Source organism: Homo sapiens, chromosome 4, assembly GCF_000001405.40.
Source record: "Homo sapiens chromosome 4, GRCh38.p14 Primary Assembly".
Classification (NCBI taxonomy): Eukaryota; Metazoa; Chordata; class Mammalia; order Primates; family Hominidae; genus Homo; species Homo sapiens.
Window position 1 is genome coordinate 147,890,442 of NC_000004.12, and position 20,084 is coordinate 147,910,525.

At 37.9% G+C, this 20,084-nt stretch overlaps 1 protein-coding gene across 6 annotated transcripts in view; it reads left to right on the forward strand.

Annotated features, from left to right (window-relative positions):
- The window catches only part of ARHGAP10 (Rho GTPase activating protein 10), a 340,689-nt gene that overhangs the window by 158,354 nt on the left and 162,251 nt on the right, over positions 1-20,084 (forward strand). For all 6 annotated transcript variants that reach the window (XR_001741324.2, NM_024605.4, XM_005263215.4 and 3 more), the window contains 2 exons: positions 16,197-16,278; positions 19,291-19,336. Coding sequence is in view for 5 of the 6 variants with exons in the window: in NM_024605.4 (NP_078881.3) it covers positions 16,197-16,278; positions 19,291-19,336 (128 nt within the window). In the remaining variant the exon portion in view is untranslated. The remainder of the gene's footprint in view (positions 1-16,196; positions 16,279-19,290; positions 19,337-20,084) is intronic.

Sequence of the window (20,084 nt, forward strand, 5' to 3'; positions counted from 1 at the left end):
ATATAAAGAACCATTGTAACTCAATAATATATAGACAAATAACAATGAAATGGTCAAAAGACCTGAATTTAGACATTTCTCCAAAGAAAATATGCAAGTGGTTGGCTGGGTGCAGTGGCCCATGCCTATAATCCCAGCACTTTGGGAGGCCGAGGTGGGCGGATCACCTGAGGTCAGGAGTTCGAAACTAGCCTGGCCAACCTGGTGAAACCCCATCTCTACTAAAAATGCAAAAATTAACTGGGTGTGGTGGTGGGTGCCTATAATCCCAGCTACTCGGGAGGCTGAGGCAGGAGAATCACTTGAACCCGGGAGACGGAGGTTGCAGTGAGCTGAGATCACGCCATTGGACTCCAGCCTGAGCAACAGAGCGAGACTCCATCACAAAAAAAACAACAAAAAAAACCACAAGTGGCCAATAAACACATGAAAAAATGCTTAATATTGTTAGCTGTTAGGGAAATGCAGATCAAAACCACAATGAGATACCACTTTATATCTACTAGGATGGCTATAAATAAAAAGTCAGATAATAACAAGTACTGGCAAGAATGTAGAGAAATTGAAAATCCTCATACACTGAGAGTGAGAATTTAAATGGAATGCTGCTTTGGAAAACAGTTTGTCAGTTCTTCAGAAAACGAAACATAACATTGCCCTCTGACCCAGAAATTCTGCTCCTAGCTATACATTCAAGAGAAATGAAAGCATATGTTTACACAGAAACTTGTGAATGAGTGTTCATAGAAGCATTATTTATAATAGCCAAAAAATAGAAACAACCTAAATGTCTGTTAAGAGATGAATGGATAAATAAAAGGTGGTATAGCCATATGATGAAAAATGAATACATGCTACTGTATGAATGACACTTGAGAACATAATGCTAAGTGAAAGAAGCCAGTCATAAAAGGCCATGTATATATGATTCCATTTATATGAAATGTGCAGGACAGACACATCTATATAGATAGAGAGTAAATGAATGATTTTCTAGGTCTAGAGGTTTGGAAAGAAATGGGGAGTGATGGCTAATGGGTACAGGTTTTCTTTTTACTCCCTAGGGTGATAAAAATGTTCTAAAATTGATTTTGGTGATGGTTATGCAATTCTGTGGATATGTTACAAGCTGTTGAACTGTACATTGTCAGTGGGTAAGTTTTATGGTGTGACTTACATCTCAATAGAGCTATTTTAAACAATGGAACACAGCTGCAAATGAATACCTACCATAGCTAAAAGAAGGGTCTTAAATCACTATAAACTATCACTACATGACGTCAGCCACATTTCAGAGACCATGGGCTATGAAATGATTAGGTCTCTCATTTTTTTAGGTTGGAGACATTGTATTTTGTATGGATGTTTTCTCCATGGCAAGTTGTAGTCTGTCAGGAGGTGTAGCTTTCTTCCCTGAAGGGTGGAATATCACCCTTCCCCCGCCCCAACAATTGTGTTATATAACATGCTGTTAGCTTCGCTGGCATGCTTGCCACATGCCACTTTGTGCTGTGACCCCCCCACACATTTGCTTGATAAATAATTACCCGTTCTGTGAAAGTTCTCCCACACATCACATTCAGGCACTGCTTAAAGAAAATGCTTCCCGTTTTGCTCTCATTAATCTGACATTTCGAATATTATATTTGGTTTCATTTTGCCTGGTTCCCATATCACTCTTGAAAGGATGGCAAGATGCTTCTGACTTGTAGAATTCACTTATTTATATTTTTATGTTGAGGAAGAGAGGAGGAAATCACCTATGTATCTGAAGCACTGGCGTTTTACAGTGATTTTATACCAGCAACTTTATTTAGTATCTGTTTGCATGATGCTGTACCGTTTCTCAATTTAAAAGAGTGAGTTAAGAGCATGTTGCCTTCAGAAGCCCATGCAATTTGACTGAATATGAGAATGTTTGTATAACACATTAACTGTACTAATATTTGTAAGCATTTTATAGAGCCTCACATCCAGGCACCTAGACAATTGTTGACTGTTTTTGGCACTGAGGATACAGCAATAAACTAGAAATTAAAAGACTTGAAATTGAGGGAACTCACAGACCAGGAGGATTTAGAAGCAAGTAACAGTTCAGAGGTCTAAGGTGCTGTGGGAGTTGAGCAGCATGGGGGAGTGTGGGGTTGGCTGGGAGTGTGGGGTTGGCTGGAAGAGCTTACTAAAGAAAGTGATTTTTAAAATTGACTCTTGAAGATGAGGTAACCAGTTTGGAGACTCAGAGGAAGGGGGGCCCAAGGCAAAAAGGAATCACAGGAAGTATGGAGAACACATGTTGAGATAATCCTTTAAATCAGAGGTTCTCAACTGTGGGCGATGTTGCTCCTAGGGGACACTGGGCAATATCTGGAGACACTGATATAATGTATTTTAACTGTGTGTTTGGGGGCTGGGGGTTAGAAGAGGGCAGGGAGTTGCTACAGACATCTAGAGGGTAGAGGGCAGCTGTGCTGCTGAACACCCTCCAGGGCACAGGGCAGGCTTCTGCAACAAAACATCATCTGCTCCAAAATGTCAGGAGTGCCACTGTTGAGAAGTCCTGATTTAATGCATGTGATAAGATAGAGACCCCTACAAATACTTGTGGAATTGAATGGAAGTAAATTTTTTTTTTTTTGAGACGGAGTCTTGCCCTGTCCCCCAGGCTGGAGCGCAGTGGCGTGATCTTGGCTCACTGCAACCTCTGCCTCCTGGGTTCTAGCGATTCTCCTGCCTCAGCCTCCTGAGTAGCTGGGATTACAGGTGTGAGCCACCATGCCCAGCTAATTTTTGTATTTTTAGTAGAGACGGGTTTCACCTTGTTGGTCAGGCTGGTCTTAAACTCCTGACCTCAGGTGATCCACCTGCCTCAGCCTCCCAAAGTGCTGGGATTACAGACGTGAGCCACTGCTCCCGGCAGGAAGTAAACTTTTTAAATGTAAATTTTTTTTTATGTAAGTGGAATTATACCTTTTTATTGAAATATATATATTTCAATATATATATTATTATTCTCTCTATATATAATACTATTCTATATATATAGAAATACATATTTCAATAAAAAGGTATAATAAGAATATATATATTTCAGTAAATATATATCACATGTATTTCACATATTTCATATGTATTTCATATATATTTATATATTTATATAATCTATATATAGAACTATATATATATATTTCAATAAAAAGTAACCATAGTTTAATTTGGTTATAGTATAAGCAATGAAGTAAAGCCAGATGGAAAGGGCTTTGTGTCTTGACTCTTCCATGTGATTTGTTCAATGATGATCAGTTACTCGGGAACTACCAAGATACCAGTGTAGAAAGAAGAGCAAAGTAAGTTATTTTAACAGAATTTTAGTGGAACTGATAGAACATGGAGTGGGTAGAATTAGAAACAGCATTTCTAGTATATAGGTCTCTGTGTTTTTCATAGAATGTAAGAATTTTCCCTAAAGATGATACTGTTGATGGTGATGTATTGAAAGACACATTTTATATGGGCTGTGATATTTAAATGGAAATCTGAATTGACATTAATATGGATTTATTTTTAAATTGTATGCTGAAGGATACTGGAGCATGGGCCATAGAAAAATTTTTAGCTTTTCTGAAAATAAAGCCAGAATAAAAAGTTTTCTACAAGAGTTTTTGTGGAGATATGTTTTTATTAATCTTGCATAAATACTTTGGGTGTGGGAATTGCTGGGGTATGGTATATGTATGTTTGACTTCTCAGGCAATTAAGGTTACAAAGTAATTTTACCCTCCCATCAGCAGTGTATGAGAGTTCTATTTGCTCCACTTCCTTACTAACCTTTGGTTATGTTACTCTTTTTCATTTTAGCCAATTTTGACTAGAGATGTTGAGCACTTCTTCCTGTGCTTATTGGCCATTTATGTTTCTTCTGTCATGAAGTGTCTATTAAAATCTCCTGCCCATTTAAAAATTGTGTTGTTGATCTTTTTGTTACTCAATTGTAGGAATTATTTAGAAACAAATCATTTACCGGATATAATAATAGTGAATATTTTCTCTGATCTGTGGCTTGCCTATCTTTTTCTTCAGTGTCTTTTGATGAGAAGAACATTTTAACTTGAGGTTGAATTTATCAGTTTAAAAACATTTTATTAAGGGCTTCTTGCACCAAGAAATATTTTTTTTACTCTATGGTTTTGAAGAAATTTTCTGATGTTTTCTTTTAAAGCTTTATAATTAGTCCATGACTCATGAAGATTTTTGGGGTATATATGGTGTGAGACATGAGGGTTGAGGTTTGTTTATTTTTTCCCCAGGTGAATAGCCAGTATTTCCATCACCATTTATTGATAGACTTGCCTCTCATTTAATTGTTTTGGCACCTTCTAAAAAATCACTTGACTGTGCATCTGTAGGTCTATTTCTAGATTCTCTACTCTGTTGCATCTCTTTGTCTGTTCTTTTGCCAGTAACACACTTACCTTGATTACTGTGTCATTAGTCAGGTGGTACAAGTCCTCTGTTCTTTTTAAAACAATTTTGGCTATTGTAGGTCCTTGGTGTTTCCATATAAATTTTAGAATTAATTTATTTTTATAAGAAAACCCCCAAAACCCATAGGTCAATATTGTGAATATAGAACCTTACAGTTCATGAACTTGATTTTCCATTTATTTAGACTTTCCATTTATCCCAGTAATGTTTTACAGTTTTCAGCATAGAAGTCATGGGCATTTTTTTTTTGGTGTTAAATTTTCCTAAATATTTTATGTTTCTGCATGATAATTTAAAATATTTGTTTTACCTTTAATTTCCAACTGGTCACTATTAGCATGTAGAAACATACTTGGTTTTTGTATCTTACAATATTGCTAAGTGCACTTATTCTGTTAGTTCTGGCAGTTTCTTTAGGATTTTTAAATGTACACAGTGATTTTATATGTGACAAAAACAGCCTTAGGGCCAGGCATGGTGGTTGACACCTGTAATCCCAGCACTTTAGAAAGCTGAGGCAGGAAGATCACTTGAGCTCAGGGTTAGAGACCAGCCTAGGCAATGTAATGAGATAATGAGACCCTGTCTCAAAAAAAAAAAAAAAAAAAAAAATTAGCCAGGTATGGTGGTATGTGCCTGTAGTCCCAGCTACTCAGGAGGCTGAGGTGGGAAGACAGTTTGAGCCCAGGAGGTTCAAAGCTGCAGTGAGCCATAATCGTGTCACTGTACTACAGCCTGGGCAACAGAGAGAGACCCTGTCTCAAAAAAAAAAAAAAGACAGCTTTATTTCTTCCTTTCCAATCTGTATGCTTTTTATTTCTTTTACTTGCCTGCCTACACTGCCTGAGATTGCCTGTAAAACGTTTGGCAGAAGTGGTGTTATTGGCCATCTTGCCTTGTTCCTGATCTTAGTAGGAAAAGTGTTCATTATTTAAAGTGTAATATTAGCTGAAAATTGCTTGTAGATGCCCTTTTCATTTTGAGGAAGTTTTTATTCCCAGTTTTAAGCATGAATTGGTTGGAATTTTGACAAAATGTTTCTCAGTGTCTCTTGAAATGATCATTAAATATGTTTCTTTAATCTTTGGATGTGAATTACACTGAATTTTGTAAGTTAACCTCACATTTCTGAGATTAAACTCTACTTGGTCATGATGTACTAGCTTTTTGTACCTGCTTCATCCATTTTGCTAGTATTCGGTTAAGGATTTTTAAATTTATGTTCATGAGAGATGTGTGCGTTATGATCTTCATTTTTTATGTCCTTCTCTGGTTTTGGTACCAAGGTTAAGATGGCTACAGAAGAATTGGGAAGTTTTCCCTTCTTCACTGTTTTTTCATAAATGTGTGTGTCATATTGGTATTAAGTGTTTGAGGTAATTCACCTATGAAGTCATCTTTGCCTAGAGTTTTCTTGGTGAGAAGTTTAAAAATTTTAAATTCATTTTATTTAGAGGATATAATGATATTCAGATTTTCTATTTTTCTTGGGTTTTGATAAATTGTGGTTTTCAAGGAATTTATTTTCTCTAAATTGTTGACTTTATTGGCATAAATGTCATATCTACTTGTTCCTTTCATATCTATAGGATTTATAATGGTAACTTATGCTTGGTAGGGATTTTTGTTTCATATTTTCTTGATAAGTCTTGCCTAGAGGTTTATCAATTTTGTTAATATTTTCAGAGAATCCATATTAACCACTTTTTATTTCATTTGTTTCTGAATTTATTTTTTTTCAACTTTGGATTTAATTTTTCTTTTCATTCCCTAAGTTAGAAGCACAGATCATTAATTTTACACCTTGTTTTTGAGATGGGCATTTGAATCTATAAGTTTTCTCCTAAGGACTGTTTCAGCTGTTTTTATTATAATTCAGTTAAAAATTATTTATTTCCTTATGTGATTAGGCTATAGATCGAAAACGTGATATTTAGAAGTATTTTTTAAAAATTCCAAATGGCTGGAGATATTCCACATGTAATATTATTGCTTTTTTTCTACTTAAGTATTCTTTTGGTCAGAGAAAACAGTTTATAGTCTATCAATATGTATTGAATATCGAAAGGATTTTTTTGCATATGTGCATAATGACCCTTTTATGAAATATCTCTGTGCTAATAATTATCTTAAACTCTACCTCTAACAGTAATATAGCTACACTTGCTTTCTTATACTGTTCGTACAGCATGTCTTTTTTCACCCTTTTCCTTTTATCTGATTCTTTATGTTTAAACTTTTTTTTATAAACAGCATATACTTGAGTTCTGTTTTTAAAAAAATATGCTAGCCATTGCTTTTTAAGCAGAGTTTTAGTTTATATATAATAATTATTATTTTATTATTATTACTATTTTTTTGTAGAGATGGGGTTTTGCTATGTTGCCCAGGCTGGTCTTGAACTCCTGACTTCAAGCCATCTTCCTTCCTTGGCTTCCTAAAGTGCTGTGATTACAGGCATGAGCCACTATGCCCAGCTGATCCATATATAATGTTTGATACGTATGGGCTTAAATCTGCCATCTTGATTTTGATTTCTAGTTTCCATGTTTGCTTTTCTTAGTTTTTTTTGCTGTTGCCTTTTCTAATGATTTTTAGTTATGCCTTTTAATGTATTTTTTAGATAGTGTCTCAGAGTATAACATGCATTTTAAAATAATCATAATATCTGCCTTCTCAAAAATAAAGACCCTTAGAACAGTGGATGACTTCCAATCATCCTTTCGCTCTCTGTGCTCTTGTTACTATATATTCTAATTCTACATACACTATGAATGTGGGAATTACATAGCATTTGAACTACATATGTTATGAAGTAATTATACATGACTACTTTTATTTTATGAAATCAGTAATCAGTGGTCTTTTAAAGAAATTTACTGTTTATTTACATACAGGTATATGCATACATGTGGGTGTAACTTTTTTTGGCTATATGTGTATATTTATTTATTTTTTTGAGACAGAGTCTCGCTCTGTTGCCCAGGCAGCGTGTTCTCAGCTCACTGCTAGCTCTGCCTCCTGGGTTCACGCCATTCTCCTGCCTCAGCCTCCCGAGAAGCTGGGACTACAGGCGCCTGCCACCACGCCTGGCTAATTTTTTGTATTTTTAGTAGAGATGGGGTTTCACCATGTTATCTAGAATGGGCCATATTTTTTTTAACACTAACGTATTTGTCCTTTATGGTTTTCTTTATTCTTTTCTGCAAAACTGGGTTTTTATCTTGTTCCATTTCTTTTAAGTTCCTTAGGCTGCCTTAGGCTGCATTTCTTGTAATGCAGGTCTGCTAGAGAAGATTTCTTTCCTATTTTGTCTGTCTGAAAATGTCTTTTATATTGCCTTCATTTTTGATGGATATAGAATTGTTTTCATAGATTTCCCCTTATACATCTTAAAGAAGTCATTTCATTGTCTTCAGGCTTCCGTTTATTTTCTGATGATAAGTCATCCATTTTTCTTATCAGTCTCTCCTCTCTCCTCTGTTGTCTTTCTCTCTTGCTGCTTTCCTTATTTCTTTTTAAATAATTTTTATGATTTTTTTTTTTGCCTTGCCCAGGGTTCCATTGAGGTTCTTGGATGTGTAGGTTTGATATTTCTTACTGCCCGGTTTAGAAAATCTTAGTCATTATCTCTTCAAATGTGTCTTCTACTCCATTTTCTGTTTATTTTTTGGGATTCGAATTACCTTATGTCAGAGCATTTGATACTGCCCCTGGAGATTTCAGATTCTCTGTTTCACTTTTCCCACCTGATTTCCATTTGTGTGTGTTTGGATCATTTCTGTCCATCTTCAAAACCATTCAGTAGGAAGTTTCAAACCTTCCCACATCTTCCTGTCTTCTTCTGACCCCTCCAAACTGTTTCAGCCTCTGCCTAGGTTATCTTTAGAGAGAAAGAGAGATGGGGTGGGGTGGGATGGGTTGAGGAACTGCCAAACACTTTTAAACCACCAGATCTTGTGAGAACTCAATCACTATCAGGAGAGCAGCACGGGGGAACCACTCCTGTGATCCATCACCTTATACCTTACACCAGATCCCTTTCTCGACATGTGGGGATTACAATTCGAGAAACCCTCCAGGCAGGCCATGCCATCTCTGAGTAGGACACAGAGTAGGTGGATTAGGACACAGAGTAGCCCATTGGATCCACCTCAGGGTGGTCTCTCAGTCCTGCTCTCAGACTTCCTCATGAGCGCTTGAGGTCCCACGGACAAGAGTTGGAGGGCGGGTTCAGACTCTCTGTGTCTAGGTCTCCTAGGAATTCTAAACATCACACCAGCCTGTGTTCTACCTTTAAAATTTTGTTAAAATTCCACTGTTTTCTTTGTCTGTGATGGTTTCCTCTTTGTCTTGCTGCTCCACCATGGATGAAAGCAGCTGGGGTGTGTGTGTGTGTGCATGCGTGTGTGTGTGTGTGTCTGTGTCTGTGTCTGTGTGTCTTTGTCTTCTGTCCAGGGAGTGGCTTGTCACTCTTTGGATTTTCATTCATTAGGTCTTTTTTACATCTTTGCTCTTAAATGAGTTTTTGAAAAACAATGGTTTCATAGGTTCTCCGTCTTGTTCTTATTGGTAGAGTGGGAATGATGTTCTCTGATAATTTTTTACATTCCAGGTGGAAGCAACAGTTCTCTAATGATTAATTGCTTGAATTCACTTTCATTGGAACATACAATCTTCTGACTGTCATTGCTCGTGTGCTCTATTAGAAACTTTTTTTTTTGGTGAACAGAAGAAAGAAGTTACTATAAAGACTTGACCTTGAGTAAAATTAGGCAACATGCTTTTATCATCTCTGGAAAAAATGCATGATTCATAGATTTATACTTTGTTTTTTTCCCAGAAACTCTATGAGAAACTGATTACATTTCTATAACTTTAAAAACTTTTTTTGGCTTCAGCAGTTTCCCCTTCTCATAATAAAATGTAGGGCAGAACTTGTTACGTGCTGGGTTTTTTTTTTTTTTTCCTTTTCAACATTCCTCTTAGAAAAGCAATAGAATATTCCTGATTGTTACCATTATAAGTTTTGATATCTGCTTCTTTGTTTATTCACTTAAGAGCTACTCTGTTTACAATAATGTCTCCTTAGACTTGTGAATGTTTCTCTCTGCTTTTTTCGTTGTGTATTTTCTGAATTTATAAGCTCAGTAATCTGTCACTTAAAACACAAGGGTAAAGCCTGTCTTCTACATGGTTTGATAGAGCTATAGAACATGCAGTTGAAAGAGACTTAATAGATACAGAGTGAAATGTAGAATACAGATAATAGGCAGTTTCTTATGCTTGGGCTGAGGGTGGTGCCTGATTGGTGATACCATGTATTTGTATTTGTATTTTTTTTCTGAATGAATGAATGAAAGAGGTTGAGATGCTGATTTATGAATTTAAGAATTCTTTTAAAAAGAATTTATGAATTTAAGAACTTGTTTAATATTGTTTCTTCAGATTCCAATTCCCAAACTTAGGTACTACAGATAATAATTAGGGTTTTAGATAAAGATTATCCTGGCAGCTTGCCCTTTTTCACTTGGTTTATTTTTTTCGTTCATGAAATTTATACTTTTGCCTGTGTATTCACCAGGAATCAGTTCTGACTTGCTGTATGTGATGAGTTATCCAGAGCTTAAAATGGTATCTGGAACTTAGTAGGTACTCAGATTGTAGTGTGGTTTAAGTGAATTATTAGGTGAGTGAGAAAATGGCAGTGTTCTCAGCTGAACCAGTAGAATGCATTGCAGCAATATGGCTCCAAGAACCCCCAGTCGGAACTTTCTCAGTTCTAATTCTTGCTCTAATGGAGTCACTAGTGTTAGCTTCTCCATGAAACAAAGATGTGATTGCTATTTTTTCCCTCCTTCCTCCCTTTCCACCCTTCTCTGTCTATAAATAAATTCAACAACAACAACAACAACAACAACACGCCTTGAGACAGGTTCTTGTTATTTTGCCCAGGCTGGTCTCAAACTCCTGGGTTCAAGCAATCCTCCTGCCTCAGCTTCCCAAAGTTTATTTTTTATTTAAATGCGAATAATCCAATATACTTTGCAAAGTTTTCTGTTCTTTACTATTCTGAGATTCACCATATTTCCTTTACATCCATTAAATTTTATTAATAAAATATGTCCTTTGTTTCAAAAACTACAGAATTTTTATATTTTGGTTTAACAGTGTGTTGCTATTGATTTTGGCAGTTTGAAATGTGTCCAATGTTTCTCAAAGTCTCATTCTTTCTTAGTGATGTCCTAAGCAATTGATTATTAGAAAAGAAAAACTTGAGAAATTTGAAATGGTTGAAACATGTTCTAGCAAACGTTTTATTTTTCCTACACTAATACTTTAGAGGCAGGGAATCAGTAAATAGAAAATGAATATGAGCAGTCTTTGTGAGAGGGTGGGAACCCAGCCTTATTTAATACTAGTGGCTGATCCCTTTAATGTTAAAGTAATGCGTTGCAAGTGTGAAGTGTTCTGAAGAATGTAGACTGTGATGAGTTAATTCTCAATAGTGGAACTGTTTTGAGTTATCATTACATTATTTGCCAAAATATAAACAAATGGAATTCTTTCCTTGTGAATGATCCATTTCTACTTAATCTCTCATCTTTCAACAAATTTGTTCTCTGCTGGCTTCCACAAAGGGCTGTGTGGCTCAAGTTTGAGTCGTTGTGCTTGGAGGCAAGACATATAATACTACTTTACTTTTTACGCTTCTTTGGATTTTTATCCAGAAATAATATGGCTGTTTAATCTGAAGCCTGATAATTGCTTTTTCCCTTACTTCAGTATTTGTACTTCTAGTCATAACTCTTTAAGCCCTTCATCATTCAACAGTTATTTCTGTGTTTTAGGTTACTAGAATCAGTCATTCTTCCTGTCCAGCATCTGTATTTGCTGCTCTATGTGTAACTGGTGAAGAATATACAACCATCTATCTTGAGTTAATATTATTTTTCCTCCACATATGAGCATCAGTGGAAAACTTTAGGGGAAAACAAAAAGGAACTAGAGAGGACAAGGAATTTCCTTAGGCTCATGGCCGACTTTGAGAGTGTAAGTATATGTAAGTATATTAGGTCCTTACTTGCTGCAGTGGTTCGTGATTGTCACTGAATTCCTTTACTAGTTACTGATGGTATATTGTAGTTGATCTGTCTTCTATTTGTTATTCTTGGAGCAACAGCTTTCATACTCATCATTTTGTTGCCCATGACATGTAGAAGCACTTCTGGAATATTTCCCAAGCCCATTCATTGTTTCTTTTTTCATTTTTGCCATTTTGTATCATCCTTTTAGTCTTCTAATATGTTTTTGCATTCAACTCTTGCCTATCTTCAGTCCATTCTCCACCCAGCAACCAGACTGTTCATGTGCAATTTTAACCTGATCTGGCTGTTCCCCTACTAAAAACCTTTAGTGGCACTTAGGATAAATTAAATCCTTAGCATGGTGTATTAATTCATTCTCACACTGCTGCAAAGAACTGCCTGAGATTGGATAATTTATAAAGAAAAGAGGTTGAGGCCGGGCGCAGTGGCTCATGCCTGTAATCCCAGCACTTTAGGAGGCCGAGGTGGGCCGATCACCTTGTCAGGAGTGACCTGGTCAGGAGTTTGAGACCAGCCTGGCCAACATGGAGAAGCCCTGTCTCTACTAAAAATAGAAAAATTAGCTGGGTGTAGTGGCTGTGCACCTGTAGTCCCAGTTACCCAGAGGCTGAGGTAGGAGAATTGCTTGAACCTGGGAGGTGGAGGTTGCAGTAAGCCGAGACTGCACCACTGCACTCCAGTCTGGGAGACAGAGCGAAACTCCATCTCAAAAATAAAGAAGGGGAGGGGAAGGGAGGTTTAATTGACTTAGTTTTGTAGGCTGTACAGGAACAGGAGGCATGGGTGGGGAGGCCTCAGGAAACTTATAATCATGGCAGAAGGCAAAGGGGAAGCCAGTATGTCTTACATGGCCAGATCAGGGGGAAGAGAGAGAGAAGTGGGAGGGGAGGGCGGGGGTGTGTGGGGCAGGCTATATACTTTCCAAAAACCAGATCCTGTGAGAACTCTCATGGAAGCAAAAGCAAGAAGGGGGAAGTCTACCCCTATGATCAAGTCACCTCCCACCAGGCCCCTTCTCCAACTTTGGGAATTGTAAATGCTACATGAGATTTGGGTGGGGACCCAGAGCCAAACCATCCCACATGGCCAGGGAGGCCCTGTGTGGCTGGACCCCAGTCTGCCTCCACAGCTTTCTGTTGTGCCACTCTCCAGCAGGCTCATGGCGCCAGTGAGGAGGCTGATCTTAGCTCCTCCAGAGTGTGCTTTTGGTCTTCTATGCACCTTCTCAGCTTAGGGGACAACTCTGCATTCAAAAAAAACTTTTCTGAGAGACTACTTTTTAAAGAATAGTTTTCAGTTCACAGTCAGAAGAGGAAGATAGAGATTTTCCTGATTCCCCCCAACTCCCACACATGCATAGCATTCCCCATTATCAACACCCCCACCAGAATGCTGCATTTGTTAGAACTGTGGAACCTACCTTGACATATCATAATCACCCAAAATTCATAGTTTACATTAGGGCTCACTCTTGGATTGTACATTTTATGGGTTTGCCCAAATGTGTACTGAATGTATCCATCATTCTAGTATCATACAGAAGATTTCACTGCCCTAAAAATCTTGTGCTCCACCTGTTCATCCCTTTCCCTCCAGTCCCTGGCAACCAGTGATCTTTTTACTGTCTCTGTAGTTTGACCTTTTCCAGAGTGTCATCTACTTGAATCACACAGTGTGTAGACTTTTCAGATAGGCTTCTTTCACTGAGTAGCATACATTTAAGCTCCCTCCATGTCTTCTCATGGCTCAGTAGCTCATTTCTTTTTAGCACCGAATAATACTCCATTGTCAGGATGTACTACAGTTTATTCATTCACCTTCTGAGGACATCTTGGCTGCTTCAAAGTTTTGGTGGTTGTGAGTCAAACATAATTTGGTAGTTGTGAATAAACATCCATGTGCAGGTTCTTGTGTAGACATAGTTTTCAGTTCCTTTAGGTAACTGCCAAGGAATGTGATTGCTGTGTCCTACAGTAAAAATGTTTTTACTTTTGTAAGAAACAACCAGACTTTGAAAGTGTACCATTTTGCATTGCCACCAGCAATGAATAAGAGTTCCTGTTGCTCCACATCCTCTTCAACATTTGGTGTTGTCAGTGTTTTGGGTTTTGGCTGTTCTAGTGAGTGTGTTGTATTTCATTTTAATTTGCATTGCCTTGATGACATCTGATAGGGTGCATCTTTTCTTTCTTTCTTTCTTTATTTTATTATTATTATACTTTAAGTTTTAGGGTACATGTGCACAATGTGCAGGTTAGTTACATATGTATACACGTGCCATGCTGGTGTGCTGCATCCATTAACTCGTCATTTAGCATTAGGTATATCTCCTAATGCTATCCCTCCCCCGTCCCCCCACCCCACAACAATCCCCAGAGTATGATGTTCCCCTTCCTGTGTCCATGTGTTCTCATTGTTCAGTTCCCACCTATGAGTGAGAACATGCAGTGTTTGGTTTTTTGTCCTTGTGATAGTTTACTGATAATGATGATTTCCAATTTCATCCATGTCCCTACAAGGACATGAGCTCATCATTTTTTATGGCTGCATAGTATTCCATGATGTATATGTGCCACCTTTTCTTAATCCAGTCTATCGTTGTTGGACATTTGGGTTGGTTCCAAGTCTTTGCTATTGTGAATAGTGCCACAATAAACATACGTGTGCATGTGTCTTTATAGCAACATGATTTATAGTCCTTTGGGTATATACCCAGTAATGGGATTGCTGGGTCAAATAGTATTTCTAGTTCTAGATCCCTGAGGAATCGCCACACTGACTTCCACAATGGTTGAACTAGTTTACAGTCCCACCAACAGTGTAAAAGTGTTCCTATTTCTCCACATCCTCTCCAGCATCTGTTGTTTCCTGACTTTTTAATGATCGCCATTCTAACTGGTGTGAGATGGTATCTCATTGTGGATTTGATTTGCATTTCTCTGATGGCCAGTGATGGTGAGCATTTTTTCATGTGTTTTTTGGCTGCATAAATGTCTTCTTTTGAGAAGTGTCTGTTCATATCCTTTGCCCACTTTTTGATGGGGTTGTTTGTTTTTTTCTTGTAAATTTATTTGAGTTCATTGTAGATTCTGGATATTAGCTCTTTGTCAGATGAGTAGGTTGCGAAAATTTTCTCCCATTTTGTAGGTTGCCTGATCACTCTGATGGTAGTTTCTTTTGCTGTGCAGAAGCTCTTCAGTTTAATTAGATCCCATTTGTCAATTTTGGCTTTTGTTGCCATTGCTTTTGGTGTTTTAGACATGAAGTCCTTGCCCATGCCTATGTCCTGAATGGTAATGCCTAGGTTTTCTTCTAGGGTTTTTATGGTTTTAGGTCTAACATTTAAGTCTTTAATCCATCTTGAATTAATTTTTGTATAAGGTGTAAGGAAGGGATCCAGTTTCAGCTTTCTACATATGGCCAGCCAGTTTTCACAGCACCATTTATTAAATAGGGAATCCTTTCCCCATTGCTTGTTTTTCTCAGGTTTGTCAAAGATCAGATAGTTGTAGATATGCGGCGTTATTTCTGAGGGCTCTGTTCTGTTCCATTGATCTATATCTCTGTTTTGGTACCAGTACCATGCTGTTTTGGTTACTGTAGCCTTGTAGTATAGTTTGAAGTCAGGTAGCGTGATGCCTCCAGCTTTGTTCTTTTGGCTTAGGATTGACTTGGCGATGTGGGCTCTTTTTTGGTTCCATATGAGCTTTAAAGTAGTTTTTTCCAGTTCTGTGAAGAAAGTCATTGGTAGCTTGATGGGGATGGCATTGAATCTATAAATTACCTTGGGCAGTATGGCCATTTTCACGATATTGATTCTTCCTATCCATGAGCATGGAATGTTCTTCCATTTGTTTGTATTCTCTTTTCTTTCATTGAGCAGTGGTTTGTAGTTCTCCTTGAAGAGGTCCTTCACGTTCCTTGTAAGTTGGATTTCTAGGTATTTTATTCTCTTTGAAGCAATTGTGAATGGGAATTCACTCATGATTTGGCTCTCTTTGTCTATTATTTGTGTATAAGAATGCTTGTGATTTTTGTACATTGATTTTGTATCCTGAGACTTTGCTGAAGGTGCATCTTTTCTTAACGCTCCTCTGCCATTTGTATATTCATATGTATATTCCATATGAACCATTAATTCCATTTCTTGATATATACCTGAAAGAATTGAAAGCAGGGGCCTAAACAGGTATTTGTACATCCATGTTCATAGCAGCACTGTTCACAACAGGCAAAAAGGTGGAAGCAACCCAAGTGTCTGCGGATATTGTGAATGGATAAGAAAAATGTGGTATATACACACACAATGGAATATTAGGCTTTTATGTAGCAATTGAAAGTTATTGTTCAACAGGTACAGAGTTTCAGTTTTGCAAGATGAAAAAAGTTCTGTTAATGGATGGTGGTGATGGTTATGTAACATTGTGAACATATTTAATGCCATTGAACTCTACACTTAAAAATCGTTAAGATGATAAATTTTAGGTTACATGTATTTTACCACAGATAAAAGTAAAAAAAAAATGGTTACAACAGTTAAATCTTAGGAAAAACTTGCCTTTTAGTGGCCAAGGGGTAACCTGATATGTTACTGGTGTCTTTCAGGCCTGGCGTTTCCTTGACCATGCAGGCATTTTCCGAAGAGGAAAGGAAGCAGTGGTTGGAAGCTCTGGGTGGAAAGGAAGCTGTAAGAATAATCAATGGTTGAGTTTTATTTCAAAGCCTTTAGAGTTGACTTGCATTCATTTTTATGTTATTTTTGTGTAGTATTTGAGAAAAGTTCCCTTCTATAACAGGTATTCCAAAAATCATCGTGGAAGCATTCAACATTCTAGTAATTTGGGTTGGGCAAGCAGCAGTACATATAAGACTAGTGTATCATTAGTTTTTATTTCTGTATTTTCTTGACTTGCCACTCTGATTTGCTTTGCTTGAGGAGGTCATCTAAATTCTCAATTTCATCTTTCCTACTTGACAGTACTTTGGATGATGAACACAATAAATGCCTGCAATGCATTTTGATCTCAGTGGAGATGGAACAGGAAATGTGAGATAGTGCAGGCAATATTATAGGTGACTGCTGTAATTGTTTTGCTTGATGTAACAATTTAAAGTTTCATCTAGTAGTTTACAGTATGCAGTATTATGTAGCCTTAGTGGATGGGCCTCGGTATTCAGAGTGCTTTGAGGAATAAATTGAAGGTAGTGGTATAGATCCAGAGGCACCAAGATTCAGTCTGTTGGCCACTATTGAAACACTACTTTCATTTTGATGGACTAGTGGCTTTTGAGAGTTGAGAATGTGGCAGATCATGTATTGGGGATTTAGTGAGGATAATTGTAGAAAACGCCACAGAACCAATTTAAATAAACTCTACTTAAAGTATTATGTATGACTCTAAATAAACTGCCATTGCAGGTGCCAGGCAGGCTTATCTGGAAAGCATTTGCCAGTTCAGCATTGTTGAGGGAAAAAAAAAGAGAATGGTTTGAAAGTAGAGGAGGGATCATGTAGAGCAGAAACAGGTTTCAGAATAGAGCTTATGAAATGGGCAAAAGCTAATGTTATCTTGTGGTAACAGAGAGCGCATTGGTGAGTGTATAGGAAAAGAGAGCAAGGAGGCTGATCAGTAGCGCATGTGGCAATCTTGAAGTACTTGGAAAATGAAAACCTAAATTAACATAGTATAAAAATTGATGCTATATTGGGGAATGTATCACTCTTACACCACCCCCGCCAAAAACAAAGCATCCTTGGTCAGATTTGGGTGTCGTCTTACCATATTTGGGATGCATTTAGCCTCTGTAGTTTTACTTCTATTGATTGATCGATGGAATCTCACTCTGTTGCCCAGTCTGCAGTGCAGTGGCGTGACCTTGGCTCACTGCAACCTCTGCCTCCTGGGTTTAAGTGATTCTCCTGCTTCAGCCTCCCAAGTAGCTGGGATTACAGGTGTGTGTCACCATGCCCAGCTAATTTTTGTAATTTTTAGTAGAGACAGGGTTTCACCATGTTGGCCAGGTTGTTCTTGAACTCCTGACCTCAAACGATCCACCCACCTTGGCCTCCCAAAGTGCTGGGATTACAGGCATGAGCCACCACACCCAGCCTTATTTCTATTTATTCTTAATTTGTTGTTGAAATTTTTAGCTGTGAATCAAGAGTATTTACAGTGTTTATGGTTACTGAGACTCCAAAACAGGTTATACTAGTCTTCTTTAGTAAAGACAGCACACTCACTGGAATGTATCGCCCCAGAGATGCAGGAAGTATATTGGATTTGCATCCATTAAAATACAGAAAAAAAATAATGGTACTTTGGAAAGTCAGTTTGCGTAGCGAAAAGACTAAGTCATTGAAAAATGAGTCTGTTGGCAATGTCAGTGTAACCTTCAAGACGTATATAACCTCTCTTTTAGAGTCAGGAGCCAAGTGATTAGTTCAGAGATACACAGACAAAGGCAAGTCTGCAGAAAAACAATATTCAGCTATGTATTTATATGGGGACACTGAAGGGACTGCATATTTTTGGTGGGTGTTGTAAGCCTTGCAAATAATTTGCCAGCCTTACAGTTCTTAAAGGTTGCCTAGAATTATCACCGTGCTATTTCTGCTGTACTTACTTAAATTATGGGCAGGAGTTATCTCTTTAGGTAAATACTGATTTTTTGAAATATTGGTGAAAACATGAGCTCCATCTTAATGGTTAGAATACAGCAGTTTCCTTATCACTCCATAGCTGTACGGCTGAGTATTTCAAGTATACACAAATTTTCAATAAGTCCCTTTTAAGGACCCTGCCCCCTTTATCTTATTTTTGCTCATTTGGTATACCTCAGGGAGAGAAAAAGTAGTCTCAGAGATGTTCCTTTTTGTTATTTATCTTTGCATCTGAGCATATGATAGTGTGTTATTAACTGAGAAAACACAGCGCACTATCTGCCTGAAGTTAGTGTTGGATCCCACATGTTTAGAGCTCACTCCCACAAGACTGCCTGAGTTCAGGTGCCCATCACAAGTCTGGACCCTCCCATACTTCTGGCTAACTGGCTATAAATTGGGGGTTCCTGTGAACCCCTCATCAGTTTAATAATTTGCCAGATTAGCTCACAGAACTGAGAGAAATACTTATATTTAGTAGTACATTATAAAAGTTACAACTCTGCAAGGGCCCAGTGGAAGAGATGCATAGGATAAAGTCTGAAGTGAGGTTGAGGTGGGTGCACGGAGCCCCCATGCCCTCAGTGGGTACACCAGCCTCCCAGCACTTCCTCATGTTCACCAACACGGAAGCTTATCAGAGCTTGTTGTTTCAGAACTCAATTGCCAGCTCACTGCTGAAGAGATTGGTGGGTAGGGCTGAAAGAAATATCAGTGGGTCTTTGTGGTATTCAGCCCCATCCTGAGATGGCCTATCCAGGGGCTCTATAAGAAGTCACCTCATTAGCATAAACTCACATGTGACCAAAAGGATCTTGTTATGAATAACAAAAGATGTTCTTATTACTCAGGAAATCCCAAGAGTTTAGATGCTCTGTGTCAGGAAGTGGGGATGCAGACCAATTTCTTATTCTATCACATTAACCAGAATCAAGCTTATAAAAATGTATTTTTTTTTGTATGGTCCTCAGTGTGCCTACTTGAATAATTTTTGCTGATTTGATTAAAAAATTCTGTTTTTCCATTCTCTTTTATTAGCTGTCCCATAGTTTTAATACAGCCATCATCCCAAGACCAGAAGGAAGTAAGTGCTCATTTATAAAAATGATTGTATCCTCCTTTTCCATCTATTACTTTGTGTACATTATGCATGTCAAGCTGTTGCTGGGAGCTTACTCTCTGCACCCTCTATTAGACAGAGGGGTATTACACGTAATAATCCTCTATTGCATGTGTTCTGTTTTACTCAACGGGGACCTCCTCAACATTTCTTGGACTACTGTAGCCCTTGTTGATCTTTCCCATCTGTGGGCTTTTCTTTTCTTTTTTTTTGATACAAAGTCTTGCTCTGTTGCCCAGGCTGCAGTGCAGTGGCATGGTCTTGGATCCCTGCAGCTTCAACCTCCTGGGCTCAAGTGATCCTCCCACTTCAGTCTCCTGAGTAGCTGGGACTACAGGCATGTACCACCATACCTGGCCAATTGTTTTTATTTTTAATTTTTTTGTTGTTGTTGAGATGGGATCTTGCTATGTTGTCCAGGCTGGTCTCAAACTCCTGGGGTCAAGTGATCCTCCTACCTCTGCCTTCCAAAGTGCTGAGATTACAGGCGTGAGTCACCTTGCCTGGCCTATGGGCTTTTTTGTGAGTCTTTCTCAAAAAAAAAAAAATTGTACAAAATACTTTCTCTACATTTACTTTAATGTTTATTAACAATCACATAAGAGTTTCAAGTATGCAACCTTCAACTTCTTGTCTGAGTTAACTCCTGTGGGTAAGAGCTGTTTATATCGAGGCCCTGTTTCCTAGCCTTGATATGCTTTATCTTTGTAGT